This window comes from Homo sapiens, chromosome 9 (assembly GCF_000001405.40).
Source record: "Homo sapiens chromosome 9, GRCh38.p14 Primary Assembly".
Lineage (NCBI taxonomy): Eukaryota > Metazoa > Chordata > Mammalia > Primates > Hominidae > Homo > Homo sapiens.
This window is the reverse complement of record NC_000009.12, coordinates 36482961-36502712: the sequence shown is the minus strand read 5'-3', so window position 1 is coordinate 36502712 and position 19752 is coordinate 36482961. Positions and strand designations below refer to the sequence as shown.

Below are 19752 nucleotides of genomic sequence, written 5' to 3'. Positions count from 1 at the left end.
TGTTTGTTGAGGAGTTAATTCCACAGTCATGACTTTTCTGCTATGGCAATTGTGATGTTACTGTCATGGCTTGTTGAGTCGGGGGGTGGTCCTGGAGGTACTGGGCTTGCAAGGGTGCAGTCCTTGAGGCAACTATGCTGGGCAATGATGTAGTATTAAAAGCCGTGGATGGCTGGATGCTGTGACTCATGCCTGTAATCCCAGCACTTTGGGAGGCCGAGGTGGGTGGACCACATGAGGTCAGGAGTTTGAGACCAACCTGGCCAACATGGCGAAACCCAGTCTGTACTTAAAAAACAGAAAAATTGCCGGGCACGGTGGCTCACACCTGTAATCCCAGCACTTTGGGAGGCCGAGGCGGGCGGATCATGAGGTCAGGAGATCGAGACCATCCTGGCTAACACGGTGAAACCCCATCTCTACTAAAAATACAAAAAATTAGCCAGGCGTGGTGGTGGGGCCTGTAGTCCCACCTACTCGCGAGGCTGAGGCAGGAGAATGGCGTGAACCCCAGAGGCGGAGCTTGTAGTGAGCCGAGGTCCAGCCACTGCTCTCTAGCCTGGGCAACAGGGCGAAACTCTGTCTCAAAAAAAAAAAAAAAAAATTAGCCGGGTGTGGTGGTGCACATCTATAGACCCAGCTACTAAGGAGGCTGAGGCACAAGAATTGCTTGAACCTGGGAGGCAAGTTTGCAGTGAGGTAAGATTGTGCCACTGCCCTCCAGCCTGGGCGACAGAAAGAGACTCTGTCCCCCTCACCTCCCCCCGCAAAAAAAACCTCTGGACTTGGAGTCCTGAGTTTGACTGTCAGCACTCTGCTTAGGATCAACTCCAGTCAGAAGCACTGGTGTGTTGTGATCAGTCATGAGGTGAGTTACACATTATTCATTGGTAATTATAAATTATTGTAGCTTTTAAAAATTTTCTTTTAATTTATTTGAATTCATAATACATGCATTTGGTTAAAAACAAATTAAATCTTGTAAAAGAAAATATAGCATAAAGGTCATTTTCTTCCCATCCCTGACTCCAAACACCAGTCCCCCAATCTCCCTCTTGAGAGGCAACCGCTGTCATCAGCTTCTTGAAGATACTTCCAGAAATAGTCTATGCATATTCATGAATGATTTCCTTGAAGAAAATCAGAGCAGATTCAAGATATGCCTATAATAATGTTGCTTGCATACAAAATGCTTTATTTTAATAATTTTCTAAATGGAATTAAGTTTTCATTATTAAAATACTATGTGCTTATTTTAAAATTGTATAAAGTAAAAGTGAAAGCTTTCTCTTCCTATTCCTTTTTTTTTTTTTTTTTTTTTTTTGAGACAGAGTCTCACTCTGTCGCCCAGGCTGGAGTGCAGTGGTGTGATCTCGGCTTACTGCAACCTCTGCCACCCGGGTTCAAGCATGTCTCCTGCCTCAGCCTCCTGGGTAGCTGGGACTACAGGTGCGTACCACCACACCCAGCTAATTTTTGTATTTTTAGTGGAGACAGGGTTTCACCATGTTGGCCAGGCTGGTCTTGGACTCCTGACCTCAAGTGATCCACCCCCCTTGGCCTCACAAAGTGCTGGGATTACAGGCATGTGCCACTGTGCTCAGCCAGGGTCTAAAGTCTTAATAACCAGCACTAATAATAATGACTTCTACTTTACTCCTTAGCCAAATTAACTACTCATCTTTGCATAATAATTGTGAACATTTGCTGAGTTCTTACTTTGTCAGGCTTTCTTCTGAGACAGGTAGCTAGACATATATATGTATGTATATCATATATGTAATATGTTATATATATATTATATAAGTTCATACATACTCATTTAATCCCTGTAACAACTCTTTGAGATTGGTACTTTTATAATCCTCGTTTGACTGAGGAGGCAACTAAGGCTGACACAGCTGGCAAGTGGCAGTCTTACTTCGGAACCACACCAAACTCTGTGCTATTCATTTCGAAGGTTTTTGTCATGCTACAACTGGCTGTGTAGGGCTGTTACTTAAAGAGGCAGCTGGGAGTATGCGTTGGAGAAAAGAGTGGTTCATTTCACTGGCACTAAAACATAAAAAGCAACCAATGACAAAAACCCTGAGTCTTATAGATTGCCACACTGCTGTCTTCTCTGAGACCCTTCATGGCTCCCCTCTACTAAACAAAGCCAAGATCCTCAGCCTGGTGTTCCAGAGCTTCCTTAGTCTTGTCAATTAGCCCTAGAAAGGGCTTTCTCTTATACTATGGGAACTTCTAAAACCATCTCTCCCATCATTTCATACCCATCTGGGAGGCTGTTATGGGATGAATTGTGTCCCCTAAAAAAGATATGTTGAAGTCCAAATCCCCATGCCAGAGCGTGAGCTTGTTAGGAAATAGGGTCAGTGCAGAAGTAATTAGTTAAGATGAAGTCATACTGGAGCAAGGGTGGGCTCTAAATCTAATATGACTAGTGTCCTTATATGAAGAAGGCCACATGAAAACAGAGGCAAACAGGGAGAACGCTATGTGACTATGGAAGCAGAGATTGGAGTTATGTGTGGCTGTAAGTCAAGGATTGTCAAAGATTGCCAGCAAACCACTAGGAGCAGGAAGAGGCAAGGAAGTTCTCTGGCAGGTTGCAGAGGGAGCATGGCCCTGCTGACACCTTGATTTTGGACCTCTAGCCTCCAGAATTGTGAGAAGATACATTTCTGTTGTTTTGAGCCATCCAGTTTGTAGTACTTTGTTACAGCAGCCCTAGGAAACTAAAACAGAGCCTTGGCCAGTTAACTCCATCACTGCAGATTTGAGTCCAAGATGTATGGGAGGGCCTTCTTTCTCTTGTTCCATTTCTTTGCTCTCAGCGGGCAGTGGCATCCTTGGCTGTTTGCTTACATAACACACAGACAACACACCCATGACATTCCCCCTATCTCTTAATGCAGACAGCACACCAGTAGTCTGTTTATTTCCCGACATGCCCTGTGCAGGGCTGGTACAGGTCCCCTGCCCCCTGCCTCTTCCTGGCTCAGGGCCAGCCCAACCCCTCTGGGGAGACAGTAGATTGAAGCCCCTTTCTGGGTTGCCTAGGCGACAGTGCCGTCTGAGTGCCCTGGAGCCAGGCAGCTGTGGCTGCAGGGAAGCGAGGGACCAAGGGAAGCTGGGGGTCAGAAAGGAGGATTAGGGGAAAGACCCAAAGAGAGTCCTTTAAAGTGGCTCTAGAACAAACACAAAAGGTAAAATTAAAACTGCAGCATCACCATAACCAGTGTTATAGAGCAATATGCCGGACTTGAGATGGAAAGGAAAAGGCTTCCCTCAGGGAATTCTATACGGAGCTTAGCTCTATGGGTCTCGGAGTCCAAGCCCCATTCAAACTTATGCTTTGAGGCCTTCTGGCAGCACAAGAGATCAAAAGATGACAAAACCCAGGCAAATAGGGACTGGCATTTTGCACAGCAAGGGCAAGTCTTCTATAAACAGCAGTAAGATACACAGTGAATGAAGAAAGATGCTTGCAGTTTTTTGGTTCACAATTAAGTGATGTCTGCTGTGTGTAGGGAAACATGCTGGGTGCTATGTATGAAGAGTGAGGATACAGACAGAAACACAATGCCATTCTTGCCCTCAAGAAGCCCATAGTCCTTCCTTAACCCAATCATTACTTCAAGAATGGACTTCTGCTGGGCGCAGTGGCTCACGCCTGTAATCCCAGCACTTTGGGAGGCTGAGGTGGGCAGATCACCTGAGGTCAGGAGTTCAAGACCGGCCTGGCCAACATGGTGAAACCCCATCTCTACTGAAAATACAAAAAAATTAGCCAGGAGTGGTGATGCATGCCTATAGTCTCAGCTACTCGGGAGGCTGGGGCAGGAGAATCGCTTGAACCCGGGAGGTGGAGGTGCATTGAGCTGAGATCAAGCCACTACACTCCAGCCTGGGCAACAGAGCAAGACTCTGTCTCAAACAAACAAAAAAAGAATTTCTAAGGCTGGGCACAGTGGCTCACGCCTGTAATCCCAGCACTTTGGAGGCCGAGGCGGGTGGATTGCTTGAGGTCAGGAGTTCGAGACCAGCCTGGCCAAGATGGTGAAACCCCGTCCCTGCTAAAAATACAAAAAAAAAAGAGCCAGGCAAGGTGGTGGGTGCCTGTAATCCCAGCTACTCGGGAGCTAAGGCAGGAGAATCGCTTGAACCTGGGAGGCAGAGGTTGCAGTGAGCCGAGATCGCACCACTGCACTCTAGCCTGGGTGACAGAGCAAGACTCCGTCTCAAAAAAAAAAAAAAATCAACTTATATAATAGCAAGCTGGAATGCTCCAAGGCAATTCTTCTCAGTCCAGGGGTTAGAAAGGGCTTCAGAGAGGCATGGGACTCAATCCTAAGTCACTCAGGTCATCACATCTCCCTGGTCACAGATCAGTATAAGGTAAGCAAGCATATACCCAATCTTAGCTGATACAAAGTAGTGAGACTTTTTGTTAGGATTGCTGAGAGGGTTACGTGTTTTCTCTTCTGTGCCAGGAGCTGCCATCACTGTCTCATCACTGCATGGAGTCTAGTATGAAACCAACATGGTGGTAAGCACAGCTGAGAGACAGAGGAAGATTGGGAGCTGACACATCATTCAAGTCCCTGAATCAAGTCATGCCAGATCCACCCCAGGCTTTGGATTATGAAAGCCAATACAGCCTGTTTCTTTTTTTCTTTTTTTTTTTTTGAGACCGAGTCTCGCTCTGTTGCCCAGCCTGGAGTGCAGTGGTGCCATCTTGGCTCATTGCAACCTCTGTCTCCTGGGTTCAAGTGAGTCTCGTGCCTCAGCTTCCCAAGTAGCTGGAATTACAAGCATATGCCACCACGCCCTCATAATTTTTGTATTTTTACTAGAAACGGGGTTTTACCATGTTGGCCATGCTGGTCTCAAATTCCTGGCCTCAAGTGATTCGCCTGCCTCGGCCTCCCAAATTGCTAGGACTACAGGTGTGAGACACTGCACCCAGCCGAGTCTATGTTTCTTAAAGTGGTTTATGTACTTCCAATTCAAAAGGTTCAAAAAAGATACATTAGAAACTCTTTTAACCGATTAATTGTATTAACCAATGCCCTCTATTCCGTCTGTAAAATATACTAATTTACACCCATGTGCACTGAATGCTCATAGCTGGTAAACTAGTTTCTGGGACTTACTGAGCCTACCAATTGAGAAGTTTCTCCACAAATCTGTTTGTGTTAGTTTTATTTATTACAGAAATTACATTACATAATTAAATATTAAGTAAACTGTGGAAACACAAGTGCAAGTGTAAAGATTGTTCCTGCTTCTATGAAAATTCAGCTAAATGTTTTGAAAGACTTGATAAAGGTATTTCTTTTTTTTGAGATGGAGTTTCACTCTTGTTGCCCAGGCTGGAGGGCAATGGCATGATCTCGGCTCACCGGGTTCAAGTGATTCTCCTGCCTCAGCCTCTGGAGTAGCTGGGATTACAGGCATGCGCCACCACGCCCGGCTAATTTTGTATTTTTAGTAGAGATGGGGTTTCTTCATGTCGGTCAGGCTGTTCTCAAACTTCTGACCTCAGGTGATCTGCCCGCCTCTGCCTCCCAAGGTGCTAGGATTACAGGCGAGAGCCACTGCACCCGGCCGATAAAGGTATTTCAAAATTGCTTTGGGGGCCAGGTGTGGTGGTATACGCCTGTAATCCCAGCACTTTGAGAGGCTGACGGGGGAGAATCACTCGAGGCCAGGAGTTTGAGACCAGCATGGGCAGCACAGTGAGACCCCATCTCTACAAAAACTTCTTTTAAAAATTGCTTTGGGGTTAGATATGGATAGACACATCATTAGAAATGAAATAATAGGCTGCGCGTGGTGGCTCATGCCTGTAATCCCAGCACTTGGGGAGGCCGAGGCCGGCAGATCACAAGGTCAGAAGATCGAGACCATCCTGGCTAACACGGTAAAATCCCGTCTCTACTAAAAAATATATATATAAAAAATTAGGCTGGGCACAGTGGCTCATGCCTGTAATCCCAGCACTTTGGGAGGCCGAGGCGGGCGGATCACCTGAGGTTGGGAGTTTGAGACCAGCCTGACCAACATGGAGAAACCCCATCTCTACTAAAAATACAAAATTAGCCGGGCATGGTGGCACATACCTGTAATCCCAGATACTAGAGAGGCTGAGGCAGGAGAATCGCTTGAACCTGGGAGGTGGAGGTTGTGGTGAGCTGAGATCACGCCATTGCACTCCAGCTCGGGCAACAAGAGCGAAACTCTGTCTCAAAAAAAAAAAAAATTAGCTGGGCATAGTGGCAGGTGCCTGTAGTCCCAGCTACTGGGGAGGGTGAGTCTGGAGAATGGTGTGAACCCGGGAGGCGGACCTTGCAGTGAGCCGAGATCGCGCCACTGCACTCCAGCCTGGGTGACAGACACTCAAAAAAAAAAAAAAAATAGAAATGAAACAATAAAAACATAGATGGATTTTACACTCAGCTTTGGAAAAGTCTTTCAGTTCTTTTTCCCCCTCTAAAGAAACCAATGCTGAAAATAGTAGATGATGCATATTGGGTGAGAAAGAGCATGAATTGTCTCTTAAGAAGCCTTGCAGTTTCCACCTGGGAACACTTGCTCTGGGGAAAGCCAGGCACTATGTAAGAAGTCTTATCTATTGTCGATGAAAAGAGTCAAACTCTGTAAAATATTTTGAGATTTATTCTGGGCCAAATATGAGTGACCGTGGCCTGTGACACAGCCCTCAGGAGATCCTGAGACCTGATGTTTCCTGTCTTCCAAAAATGTATAAAAGTCTGAGGTGGTTAGGGCACAGCCTGGTTTTATACATTTTTGGGAGACAGGAAACATCAATGAAATACATTTAAGATGTACATTGGTTTTTGGCGGAGGGGGGGCCTTCCAGGCTATAGGTAGATTTAAATATTTTCCAGTTGATAATTGGTTGAGTTTATCTGAAGACCTGGGATCAACAGAAAGGAAATGTTTAGGTTAGGATTGTGGAGACAAGTTTTATTGTGCAGAGGAAGCTCTCAGATAGCAGACTTCAGAAAGAACAGGTTGTAAAATGTTTCTTATCCGATGTAAAAGGGTGCCTGGCTCTTAGTTGATTATCTCCTGGATCTGGAAATGAAGGAAGGAAAAAAACGGGAAAGGGGTTTCTCTATGGAATGTGGATTTTTCCCACAAGAGACAACTTTTCAGGGCAATGTCAAGATATGGCAAGGAATTATATTTAGGGTTAAAATATTTTGATTTCTTCCCTTATTTGTTATGTGATGTTATGCCAGAGTCAGGTTAGAAAACAGACCACACTATACAGAGTTAAAATGAAAACCCCTCTGATGAGACTTTATGGTTTGTAGGGCATGAGTCCCCAGGGCCCTTAGGTAGGAATTTGGACAAACTAAAAAATCAGAGTTTAATCTTCACTATATTGAGTCTACCATGCTGTTAGGGAGCCCAAGCCAGTCACATGGAGACAGAGAGTTGCCCTATTAACCTCCAGCTGTTCCAGCCATCCTTTCGAGATGCCAGACAAGTGAGTGAAGAAGCCTTCCTGGATGTCTAGCCCAGTCAAGCTTTCAGATGAGTCCAGCCCTAGACACCATTTACTGAAACATCAGAGATCCCAAGTGAGAACCACCCAACTGAGCCTAGTCTACCCACAGAACCATGAAAAATAACAATAAATTTTTAAAAGCCTCTAAATATATTAGAGTGGTTTGTTATACAGCAATGGATAGCCAGTCTTTTGTAGATGAAAGGAGAGAGTTACAAGAAAGAGGAGGTGGCTGCTATTGTCAAATACCATGAAGAGATCATGGAGGATGAGAACTGAGAAAAGACCATTGTATTTGGCAATTGAGAAGCCAGCATTGTCTTTCAAGCATGTAGTTAATAGAATGGTAGGAGCAGAAGTCAAATTGGAAGTGTTTGTAGAGCAAGTGAATGGTGGGAAATAGATACAATGGTAGATTGGTCTTTTTTCTTTCTTTTTAAATAGTTTAACATTCACTGATGATCCTTGCTTGAATCAATTATCTCATTGGAGATTGCAAAATGGTAAGTTTTTAATTCTATCAATCCTTCTACATTTATTAGATGACATTCTTCTGTAAAGAAGAATTTCCTCTCATCAATTGGGGATGAACCTCATTTCTTCCTAAAATGGCAGGTTAAATGCTTCATTCTTTCTCTTTAATTACCAATTTCCTGACAAAGGAGTTGGTGTCATAGTATTTCCAATAGTGGCAAATGAATTTTTTCCTCCTTTCTCTTTTCTTGCTCTTTGAGCATCATTATGGACTCATGCATTACATTTATTCAATGTATTACAATCAATTACAGACTCAATTAGTCTTTAAAGAAGCCATAGAGGATAGGGCTAAGGATGTGATCAGAAAATTCCTAGAATACTGTGGTTGAAGAAACACACACACACACACACACACACACACCACACACACACATTTATCCTTACCAATAATAAAAATATGAAAGCAAAAACTATATAACAGAGAAAAAAATATAAAATTCCAATTCTGATACTATATATACAACCCTCCTAAAATTCTCACACAGGTTCTATAAGGGGTATGTATAAAGACAGTTATGGCAGTGATGTTTTTGGTTGTAGGCAATTTGGGTGTCCCTAATGAAGAAGACCTTAGGCAAAATGTGATGGGTGGAGTAATATGCAGTAGATAGAAGCAATGGGCCAGATCTTAAAAACATGCTGCAGCAAAAAAGAAAAATAAGAAAAAAAAATGTGTCTTACAATGTTATTTACAAAAGAAAAAAATACACACATCTAAGAAAATAGTACATATTTTATCCTACTACTATTTTTTTTTTTTTGAAAAATCTCTTTGTTGGGAGGTTTTGGTTTTGGTTTTGTTTTGAAAGAGTGTCATTACGTCACCCAGGCTGGAGTGCAATGGTGCAATCTCAGCTCACTGCAACCTCCACCTGCCGGGTTCAAGGGATTTTGGTGTCTCAGCCTCCTGGGTAGCTGGAATTACAGGCGTGCACCACCACGCCCAGCTAATTTTTGTATTTTTAGCAGAGACGGGGTTTCACCATGTTAGCCAGGCTGGTCTCAAAGTCTTGACCTCAAGTGATCTGCCTGCCTTGGCCTCCCAAAGTGCTGGGATTACAGGCGTCAGCCACCATGTCCAGCCCAATACTACATATTTTAAATAAACACAAACAAAAGGATATACATGAAACACATCGGAATAATTGCCTGTGGTGAGAAAGGGGAATGAGATTAGTGAATGTGAATAAAAGAGAATAAATAAATATAACAAATGAGAGTGGCCTTACAAGTGAGAAATATGACCAATTCAATCCCTTATATTTAAATAAAAATAAATGATTAAACAAATAAATTGCTATGATCTCTCTGGAAATTAGAACTTTTCAAAACATTGAATTAGCAATTCCACCTTTAGGAATGTGGCCTAAGGAAATAGAAACTAATGTTTATTAATGTGATAATAGTGAGGAAAAATGCTCAGCATGTTTTCTTTCGCTCTGGCTCTCACCCTGCAATTTACATCCCCAAGCATTTCAGGGAAACCATATAGTTGTCTCACATGTGCTTGTGATGTGTTTGTGAAGGAAAGTAGTCATGTGGTATTGGTGGTTCATTTCATCTCCTGCCTCAGCCCCTTCCACTTGGCATTGCTATTTTCACTTCCTTTGCTGAGCATGGTTACAAATTCCATTGGGTCTACCTTATCTGGATTCCTTCAGTTGCTAAGGCTGCAAAGTATTACTCTGTAATACTCTGAAATACCATCTTGCTCCTCTTCTGGTTTTATATGCTATTAGGTCTATCATTGTCTTATCGTTTTTCATGAAATAGCCCCTTCAGTATTTTCTTTTCTTTTCTTTTCTTTTCGAGACCGGAGTCTTGCTCTGTCGCCCAGGTTGTGGTGCAGTGGCACGATCTCGGCTCACTGCAAGCTCCGCCTCCCGGGTTCACGCCATTCTCCTGCCTCAGCCTCCTGAGTAGCTGGGACTACAGGCGACCACCACCACCACGCCCGGCTAATTTTTTGTATTTTTAGTAGAGACGGGGTTTCACCGTGTTAGCCAGGATGGTCTCGATCTCCTGACCTCGTGATCCGCCCACCTCGGCTTCCCAAAGTGCTGGGATTACAGGCTTGAGCCACCGCACCCGGCGCCCCTTCAGTATTTTCTTACAATTTCTCTCCTCCACTCCCTCATTAACCCCCAAATAAAATAATGATTTACAAGCCAGGCTGGGGCAAATACAAGTAAACAGACATTGTGCTAAGCTTGAAAGTGAAATAGGGAGTGCGAATCAGAACTACAATGAGATACCACTTCACATCCATTAGGAAGGCTATTATGAAGAAAAAGGTAGGGGTGGGGGTGGAATAACAAGTGTTGGCAAGACTGTGGATAAATTAGAACCCTTATGCATTGCTGGTGGGAATGCAAAAATGGTGCAGCCCCTATAGAAAACAGTCTGGTGCTCAAAAAGTTAAGCACAGAGTTACCATTATGATGCGGTAATTCTTCTCCTAGGTATATACTCAAAAGAACTAAAAGCAGTAAGGCCAGGCTTGGTGGCTCACGCCTGTAATCCTAGCACTCTGGGAGGCCGAGGCAGGCGGATTACCTGAGGTTGGGAGTTCAAGACCAGCCTGACCAACATGGAGAAACCCTGTTTCTACAAAAAGTACAAAAAATTAACCAGGTGTGGTGGCGTATGCCTGTAATCCCAGCTACTCAGGAGGCTGAGGTAGGAGACTCATTTGAACCTGGTAGGTGGAGCTTGCGGTAAGCTGAGATTGCGCCATTGCATCCCAGCCTTGGCAAAAACAGCAATACTCTTGTTGCCAAAATAAATAAAAATAAAATAATTAAAACAAAAATAAATAAAAATAAAACAAAAAGGAAGGAAATTCTAATACATACTGTCACATGAATAAACCTTGTAAACATTATGCGAGTGAAATAAGCCAGAAAGACACAAAAAGACAAATATTGTATGGTTCCACTTGCATTAGGTATCTAGAATAATCAAATCTGTAGAGACAGAAAGTAGAATAGACATACCAGGGGCTGAGGGGAGGAGGGAACTGAAAGTTATTTAATGGGTTTCTGTCTGGGATGGTGATGAAGATGTTCTGGAAACGGATAGTGGTGATGGTTTTACAACATTGTGAATACAGTTTTCTTTCTTTCTTTCTTTCTTTTTTTTTTTTGAGACAGAGTCTCGCTCTGTCGCCTGACTCTGGCTGGAGTGCAGTGGTGCGATCTCAGCTCACTGCAACCTCCACCTTCTGGGTTCAAGCAATTCAATTATCTGCCTCAGATTCCTGAGGAGCTGGGATTACAGGTGCCCACCACCAAGCCCAGCTAATTCATTGTGAATATAGTTAATGCCACTTGAAATTACAATTATACACTTGAAAATGGTTAAAATAATAAATTTTACATAATATATTTTACCACAATTTATTTATTTTTTATTTATTTATTTTTTTTGAGATGGAGTTTCGCTTTTGTTGCCCAGGCTGGAGTGTAATGGCGCGATCTTGGCTCACCGCAACCTCCGCCTCCCGGTTTCAAGAGATTCTCCTACCTCAGCCTGCTGAGTAGCTGGGATTACAGGCACGCGCCACCGCGCCCAGCTAATTTTGTATTTTTAGTAGAGACGGGGTTTCTCCATGTTGGTCAGGCTGGTCTCGAACTCCCGACCTCAGGTGATCTGCCCACCTCAGCCTCCCAAAGTGCTGGGATTACAGGTGTGAGCCACTGCACCTGGCCCACAATTTTTTTTAATGGAAAAAAAGGAATGGGCAATCCTTCTATTGTGCCTCTCCTTTGCATATCTTTGGATCCCCATCTCAGAGGACATTAGTAATTGTATAGTGGTGACTCTAGTCCAATTGCTTCAGCCCTTCTGCTTTATGTGGAGAGTCACAGAAATAATCTGATTTAACCGGGGTCATAGTTCTCTGCTCTTCATAGTTCTCTGTATTATCTGTTAATATTTTCAGGAATGGCACCACCGTCACTCAGTTGTCCAAGTGAAAAATCTTTGTTATCCTTGAATCAATCTCATCTTCCTCAAGCCTTGTTGATTCTACCACCTTAAAATCTCTCTATTCCTGCTATCTCTGCTTTAGTTCAGGTCACTTTCACCCCATGCCTAAAACTTTTTAGCCAGTTTTCTTCTCTTTTGGTTCTCCTCTATCTTAGGCTGTTTTCTGTTGCTTATTTATATATAACACAATAACTGAAACTAGGCAATATATAAAGAAAAGGAATGTATTTCTTACAGTTGCAAAGTCTGAGAAGTCTGAGGTTGATAGGCTACATTTCGTGAGGGTTTTCTTGCTGCTAGGGACTCTGCACAGTCCTGAGGTGGCACAGGGCATCACGTGGTGAAAGGGCTTAACATCCTTGCTCAGGTCTCTTTTCTTCTTATAAAGGCCAGTCCCATTCCCATGATAGCCCATTAATCCATGTATGGATCAATACATTCATGAGGGCTCTACCAATCACCTCTTAAACGCTCCGTCTCTCAATACTACCATATTGGCGATTAAATTTTTTATTTTTATTATTTATTTATTTATTTATTTGAGACAGAATCTCGCTTTGTCAGCCAGGCTGGAGTGCAGTGGCACGATCTCGGCTCACTGCAACCTCTGCCTCCCAGGCTCAAGCAACTCTCCTGCCTCAGCCTTCCGAGTAGCTGGGATCACAGGGGTGTGCCACCACGCCCGGCTAATTTTTGTATTTTTAGTAGAGATGGGGTTTCACCATGTTGGCCAGGCTGGTCTTGAACTCCTGACCTCAGGTGATCCCCCCGCCTCGGCCTCCCAAAATGCTGGGATTACAGGCGTGAGCCACTGTGCCCGGCCTGGGGATTAAATTTCAACATGAGTTTTGCAAGGGACAAATATTCAAACCATAGCACCCTCCAATCCATTTTCTACACAGCAGCCAGAGTTTTTCCGAAATACGATCTAATCACATCATTTCCTCATTATGTGCTCAATGGCTCACTTTTGTTATTCAGGTTAAGTTCAAATTCCTCAATGTGGCACTCAAGACTCTTCATGATTTGGTCTTGTCTTAACTAAATTCCAGTCTGTTCTTTTCTTATCACTCATCACCCGGGCTGTACTCCAGTCCTATTAAACCTGTCGTTGCCTAAACCCCAATGCTCATCTCTCTTCCTGATCATCATTGGGGGACGCAAAGTTAAGAGCTAAAGATCGCAACCAACATGAATGTGGTCCATTCTTTATTTTGTTTCCCTAAACTGGCAAGGTGAGGTGGCCCAAGGCTTTGCCTGGTCCTCTCCCTTTATTTCTTCCTGTTTCTTCCTGGCCTCAAGGCATCCTTGGATGGGCTCCTTTGGTTACTGGATTAAACTGCTCATCTGTCCGTTCTCTTCTAGGGCTGGTGGTCAAGGCATTTGCTCAAATTGGGGTTTTAAGAGCTGAAACTGGGGTTTGGACTTTGGCACAGAAATAGATCCAATGTTGCTCAAGGCTGCTGAGACCTATCGGAGGAAAGAAGGTGCCTCCGTGCAGTAGTTGACAGGTGTTCTACAGTGGGCACTGGGACCCAAGCTCCAGCAAGTAATATACTACCTGCTTCCTCTGTGACCAAAAAGTCAAGGATGGGATTCAGAAAATCTTACGTCCCCTGGCCAAATACAATCTTAATGTTTTCCCAGTCCACTTTCCCCCAACCTGCCCCCCTTGGTGAACTCCTGCTCATCCGTAAGTTTTTAACTTCTAAAAATATCTCACTGTCCTCCAATGAGATTGTAAACTCTTTGAAGGCCTCGACTGTATCTTTTTTATTCTTGTATTCCCAGTGTCTAGCATTGCTGATGACAGAAAGACCAGCACGAATGAAAGATCAGGCACCTATTAAGTGTCAGCATGGAATTTGAAATGTCTGTTGTCAAAGATTCAAATAGAGCTCTTTCTCTCTCTGCTCAGTGGAGAATGGCTGAGGATAAGGTTTTATTGAAATGATCCACTCAGCAGTTTAGCTGCACCCTGGCCCACCCACGTGCCTGCACTTTAGAGGTACCCCTAACACATGGTTGTTTATTTTGCTCCTCTACGGCTTTGAAATGAGAGCCAGACAAACATGAGGAGGAAACGGTTTCAGTGACCAACATCACATCCAAGTGGAGGAGGGCCCAAAGGGGGTCACCAACTCGCAGAATTCTTCCCCTCACAGGAAAGCCGTTGGGACAGGTCAAAAGCCTTTCCTTACCTCACACCCTCCCCATCTTTTGAGACTAGGCCCAGCTGGGCTGGATGTTTCTATCTAAGTCTTCTAACAACAAGGGCATGTAAAGTGAGAAAGTCAGAGAAAGGGGCGAGGGGCCAGGGCTGAGCCTGGCTGGTTCCTGCTCAGCATTCAAGATGGTCTCGGGGACTCAGGGACTGCAGCTCGTTTCCATCTCTTTCGTTTCTGCCTCTGCTGTTCTCTCTGGGTCCGCGGGGACTAATTTATCACTGAAACGCAGCCTAAGAACAGAAGGGAGAGTTTCTTTCCTAAGTGTCTGAAAGGGAAAAACTTTGAGGAAACAGCCAAGAGAGGCAGAGGAGGGGAGAGGAGGCTGCGTCTCCAGTGCGGGGAAGCGGAGGAGGGAGTCTGGCAGGCGGGCTGCGAGCAGTAGCTATCTGGGCCGAGTTCCGGCCCCCTCGCGGGCGCGAACCCCTGCGCAGCGGAGCCCAAGCGCAGCCCCAGCCTGGGTCGCGCGAGGCCTGGCCCCAGAGGCCCGCGGCCGCGCCTCAGGGGCGGGCCTGGGGCGGGGCAGCCCCTGCAGCAGGGCTCTCCCGGCGGGTGGCCCGCGCTCTGCCTCCCCTTCTCAGGGAGCGGCGGAGACTGAGGATACCCCTCGGCGCCGCCCTCCCGCCCCCGGAGCCGCGGCTGAGGAGCCCCGCGCCCATTGGCGGCCGCGGCTCGGCGTCCCCGCCCCCTCCACGTCCCCGCCCCCTCCGCCGCCGCCGCCGCTTCCCGGCTCCGCCTCCTCCCCCTTCGGGAGCCGCCTCCGTCGCCGCCACCGCTGCTGCCGGCCGGGGCCCAGCCAGCGCCTGCCGCGCCGGAGTCGAGTCGCAGCCGGAGCCGCTGCTCGCGGCCCCGCCATGAGCGGAAGCGCGGCCGCCGCGGTCGCTGCCGCCGCCGCCTCAGCAGCCGCCGCCGCCGCGCACTTTCAGCCTCAGTCGTCGTCTCCCAGGCCGGGCCCCGCCGAGCTTGGGCCCCCGCGCCGCCCGCGCCCCCCACCGCCGCCGCCCCGGCCGGAGCCCGCCGCCACGGACCGCCTCAGCCCTCCGGGCCACGGGCCTCTCCGGGCGGGAGCCCAGGGTGGCGGCGCCTGCGGCCGAGCGCCGGGAGCAGGTACGGGGTCCCGGAGCGGGCCAGGCAGGGAGGGGCGTGGGTCGGTCCCGCGGGTGGGGGCCGGAGGCGTGTGGTCCAGGCGCCCGGCCCCGCCGACGGGGAGGAGCGTTGTCCGGGTCAGCTTTGTCCGGCCCCGGAGCCCCTGCGAGCCCTGCGCCTCAGCCGCGCCGAGCGCTCACAAAGCGTTTTCCCACCCGGTGGGTAGCCCCCTCCCCCAGGGTGTGCAGGGCAGGACCTCTCTAGGTCTCTGCTCGGCGGAGGAGGAAACCGAGGCTTAGAGGGGGAAGTGACTTGCCCAAGGTCACATAGCCAATGAGAGCCGTAGCTTGGCTGGGACCCAGGGCCACCCTGGGCCGGCGCGGGCCCCGAGCAGAGGGGGCTGGGAAGAGGTCGATCCCCCGGCCCCCAGGAGCCGAGGGAGACAGATCTCGGGGGAGGGGGTCAGGCCCTGGACCCTGGCACACCCACCCAGCCCTTTTTGGGCTGGTTTGGGAGTAATGATCTCTTACGGGGTGGGACGGAAGAGCAGGGGGCCGACTTGGGAGCTTGGTGGTGCCCTGGGGAGCCGCAGCGGGAAAGACTTCTGTGCGGGGTGTGCTCTCGGGGAGAGGGCTTTCTTGAGTGAGTGGGGCAGAGCTTCGGAAACTTCTTATCGTGGGGACCGTTTGGTCTCTGCCAGGCCACCTTCCCCACCACTGCACTGACTAAACCAATTCAGCTGGAATTACTGGGAGGGAGGCCTGCCCGCTTTTGTGGAGGCGCCCGTAAGGTGTCTTTTTTCAGTAAATGGCCCGAATTTCGTTCATGCCGAAACCAGAAATGCATACATGGCCTTGGTAAAGACGTTTACGGCACAGAAGGCCATGTGAGTTTTTTCCAGGTGGTTTGGACCTACCACACTTGGAGAACTCCCCGAGAAAGAACAGCTATCCCAGGCTTGAAGGGGGAAGGAAGCTGGGAGGATTGGGACCGAGTCACCCGCCTGCCTGGCATGTAATACATGGGATTTCCGTTTTTATTTGGGGTGGATGATGAGGTGGGTTGTTTTGACTGCGGATGTCCCTTGGAAGGGGAAAGGACTTGCAGTTCTAGAGGGAAGGGAGAGAGCAACGTGTTACAGGCAGGGACGAGGGTCCCGTGGAGCTAGAAAATAGAATGGGGAAAAAGGAGAGGGTATTCAGTCATTGTGGGGGAAGGGAGATGAAAGGGTTGCTGAAGGGCGGGGGACGGTGTCTAGTCTGGAGAAAAAGATTGGGATGTTTCAAAGAAGGTGCCAAACGTGATGAGTTTGAAAGGAGTCTGTTGGAGGTGGATGGTAGCTTACAAGGTTGAGTGTGAATTGGTCTGCAGTCACTTATTTTCTTTTAGTAAGGACAGCTATACTTTTATAGAAACGTTCTAGCTTGAGCACCCCCTCCCCCTCATTCTCGCTCTTGTTCTAAGGATGCAGACCCACAGGGCCTGGAGTATTGTCTTGGAAGTAAGGCTTGACAAAAGAGGGAAGGGAAAGACTAATTAACAAATGCATTAATTAAGGCCCTTTGTCCAAGATGATTCCTTGTTTAAGTCAGCTGTTTTCTTGCTGCCCTCTTGCACCTTAGCTTTCCTGCTGTGGTGGCTGTTGGCAGGGTGCTTTGGGAAGGACTGCCCCAATTCAGACAAGATGGGTTAGATTTTCCTAAAAAACTCTAAGACACACATATTTGGCAAATGTATACTTAAAAGCAAGAAAATGTACTTGTGAGAGACTTACAATCAGGGAAATGCAAATTGAAACAACACTGAGATGACATTTCACACCGATCAGGTTGGCAAAAATGTAGTGCTGTGATAAACCGAGGATTATTAAGGTTGTGGATAGATAAGCTTGTATATAGTGTAGTGGAAATGTAAATGGATCCAACCACCTTAGAGAGTAGTGGTATTTGGTGTTTAGTGTGAAGGTGGGCAGACATATTCATTTACCTAAAATGTCCATTTCTGGGTGTGTGTGTGTATATATACCCTAAGAGATCCTTGTACACTTGTTCAAGAAAATAAGTATGAAAAAAATACAAGAATGCTCATTCCAGCTTAAATGTCCACCAACAGAAGACTACATATATTTTTATTTATTATTTATTTGTTTGTTCGTTTGTTTTGAGACGGAGTCTCTCTGTCACCCAGGCTGGAGTGCAGTGGCGTGATCTCGCCTCACTGCAAGCTCCGCCTCCCTGGTTCACACCATTCTCCTGCCTCAGCCTCCCGAGTAGCTGGGACCACAGGCGCCCGCCACCATGCCCGGCTAATTTTTTTTTGTATTTTTAGTAGAGACGGGGTTTCATCGTGTTAGCCAGGATGGTCTCGATCTCCTGACCTCGTGATCTGCCCGCCTCTGCCTCCCAAAGTGCTGGGATTACAGGCGTGAGCCACCGCGCCCGGCCAATACATACATTTTTAGATAGACCCATACAGTTGAATATTACAGCTGTGAAAAATAAACTAGCCTCACTCATTAAAATAGGTGAATCTCAAAAACCATATGGAACAGGGAAGCAAGTCAGAAGAATTCTTACAGAATCGTTTCACGTGTGTAAAATCTGAAAACATGAAAAATAATATTGTTTGTGGCTATGCCCATATGTGGTGATAGTATTAAATTATGCATATTAAGTGTAATGATTGTCTTTGGGAAGAGAAGATGAGGAATGGGATTACACAAGGGTACCCAAAAGGGCTTTATTTATACCTTTAATGTCCTATTACTTAAAAAAAATCTGAATCAGGTAATCGTAAATTAAGATTTGGTAATGTTGGGTGTAGGGTATAGAGATATTTAGTATACTCTAAATATTTTTCAGATGTTTGAAATATTTCTCACACAAAAATTTTGTTTATAGAACACAGTTTTTGTTTCATAATAATGGACCTCTCCTACAGGCTCCAGCCTAGCGCAGCCTGTTAGACATGCAGGCTGGTGATCCTTTTTCGCCCCTTTCTGACCTGCTAAACCTAGTTTTGCAGTGGATGACTTTTATTTTGGAACTGCTGATAGTTGCGGTAGATTTCTCATTATTTCTAAACTTTCTATTGGACCTGTGTCAGCAGTTTGAGCTTTGTTGAAATAGATGTGCTCCAGGACATTCTGATATATCAGGTGTAGGGAGGGACCCAGACATCTGATTCTGAGAAAACTCCCCAGTAGATTGGGATGCCCACTAAAGTTTGAGAACCACTATCTTGGGTTTGCCCCAGCCTAGTCCTCATCTTTTCCTTAGGCTGCCCCTCTGTTCCCACTCCTGGATGACTGGGATGGAATTTTGACCCACGTGATACTTTACCTCTTTTGTGGAGCATAAAAGAATGATAGGGTTGGATGCCATACCCCTCTTAATCTAGGTTGTCCATTCCTCTGATTTTCATGGAGTTAGCTAAGGGGCCCACTACCTACCAGGGTTGTTTATCAGGTTTTACAGATTTTAACACATGTGTCAACTGTATGTGGTTTCAAAGTAAGGGCAAAAAGGGTCTAGCAGAGAAGGAAAATTTGGAGAAAGTAAAACCCCCAAAGGTAAACATGTCATTATGTCTTAAGAGAAAGATGATCCATCCCTCTGCAGATGCTAGTGATTGTTTTAGCTTGTGACCAACATTTGAGGTTCAGCCGTCTGAACCTATGGTCAGAGATTAAGGTCTTTAGGAGACAACTGATTATCCCTCAAGATGGAAGAGTGTCCTTTCTCCAAAATTTGCTAGTTTTCCTTCTCTACTAGACCTTTCTTCCTTAGTCCTGATGTGTTTATGAATGAATTTATGTTAACAAATCTGAGGCTTTCTGATAGTGAAATTTGTGAAGTGCCTGTTTGTCTTTGTTAAGGTTCCTCTATCTGGAAACCCACTTTGGAGGTGCAGCATTGCCCAGGTACGCTTTTCTTTTTTTTTGAGACAGAGTTTCGCTCTTGTTGCCCAGGCTGGAGTGCAGTGGCGCAATCTCGGCTCACTGCAGCCTCCACCTCCCAGGTTCAAGCGATTCTCCTGCCTCAGCCTCTCGAGTAGCTGGGATTACAGGTGCCTGCCACCATGCCCGGATAATTTTCATATTTTTAGTAGAGACGGGGTTTCACCATGTTGGCCAGGCTGGTCTCAAACTCCTGACCTCTGTGATCAGCCTGCCTCGGCCTTCCAAAGTGTTGGGATTACACGCGTGAACAGCCGTGCCTGGCCGGTACACTTCTTAACGGTGCTGCTGTGTAGGACCATAGAGATTGCACCCAGCAAAAGGATACCTGTTTCAGGTGGCAAGTGAGGGTGGAAATCTATTCTGTACTCCACTTACCAAGATGAGTACCTGGTGTGGAACTGTGTGCA

General features: G+C 46.4%; 1 protein-coding gene across 7 annotated transcripts in view, besides 2 other annotated features; it reads left to right on the top strand.

Annotated features, from left to right (window-relative positions):
• Positions 14628 to 15207: a silencer, noted in NCBI's record as "silent region_19895". NCBI's record gives its function as "represses an Ori minimal core promoter by ATAC-STARR-seq in GM12878 lymphoblastoid cells {active_cell/tissue: GM12878}" and the evidence as "EXISTENCE:reporter gene assay evidence [ECO:0000049][PMID:35858748]".
• Positions 15044 to 19752, top strand: part of RNF38 (ring finger protein 38) — a 151270-nt gene continuing 146561 nt past the window's right edge. For 3 of the 7 annotated variants that reach the window (XM_047422796.1, XM_047422795.1, XM_047422794.1), the window contains exon 1: positions 15044 to 15405. In XM_047422796.1, the coding sequence (XP_047278752.1) occupies positions 15153 to 15405 (253 nt within the window). In that variant the 5' untranslated portion in view covers positions 15044 to 15152. Of the gene's footprint in view, positions 15406 to 15491; positions 15603 to 19752 lie in introns of those variants that run through there. The other 4 variants (XM_017014296.2, XM_011517712.3, XM_017014297.2 and 1 more) reach the window with 4 other exon arrangements.
• Positions 15318 to 15947: a silencer, noted in NCBI's record as "silent region_19894". NCBI's record gives its function as "represses an Ori minimal core promoter by ATAC-STARR-seq in GM12878 lymphoblastoid cells {active_cell/tissue: GM12878}" and the evidence as "EXISTENCE:reporter gene assay evidence [ECO:0000049][PMID:35858748]".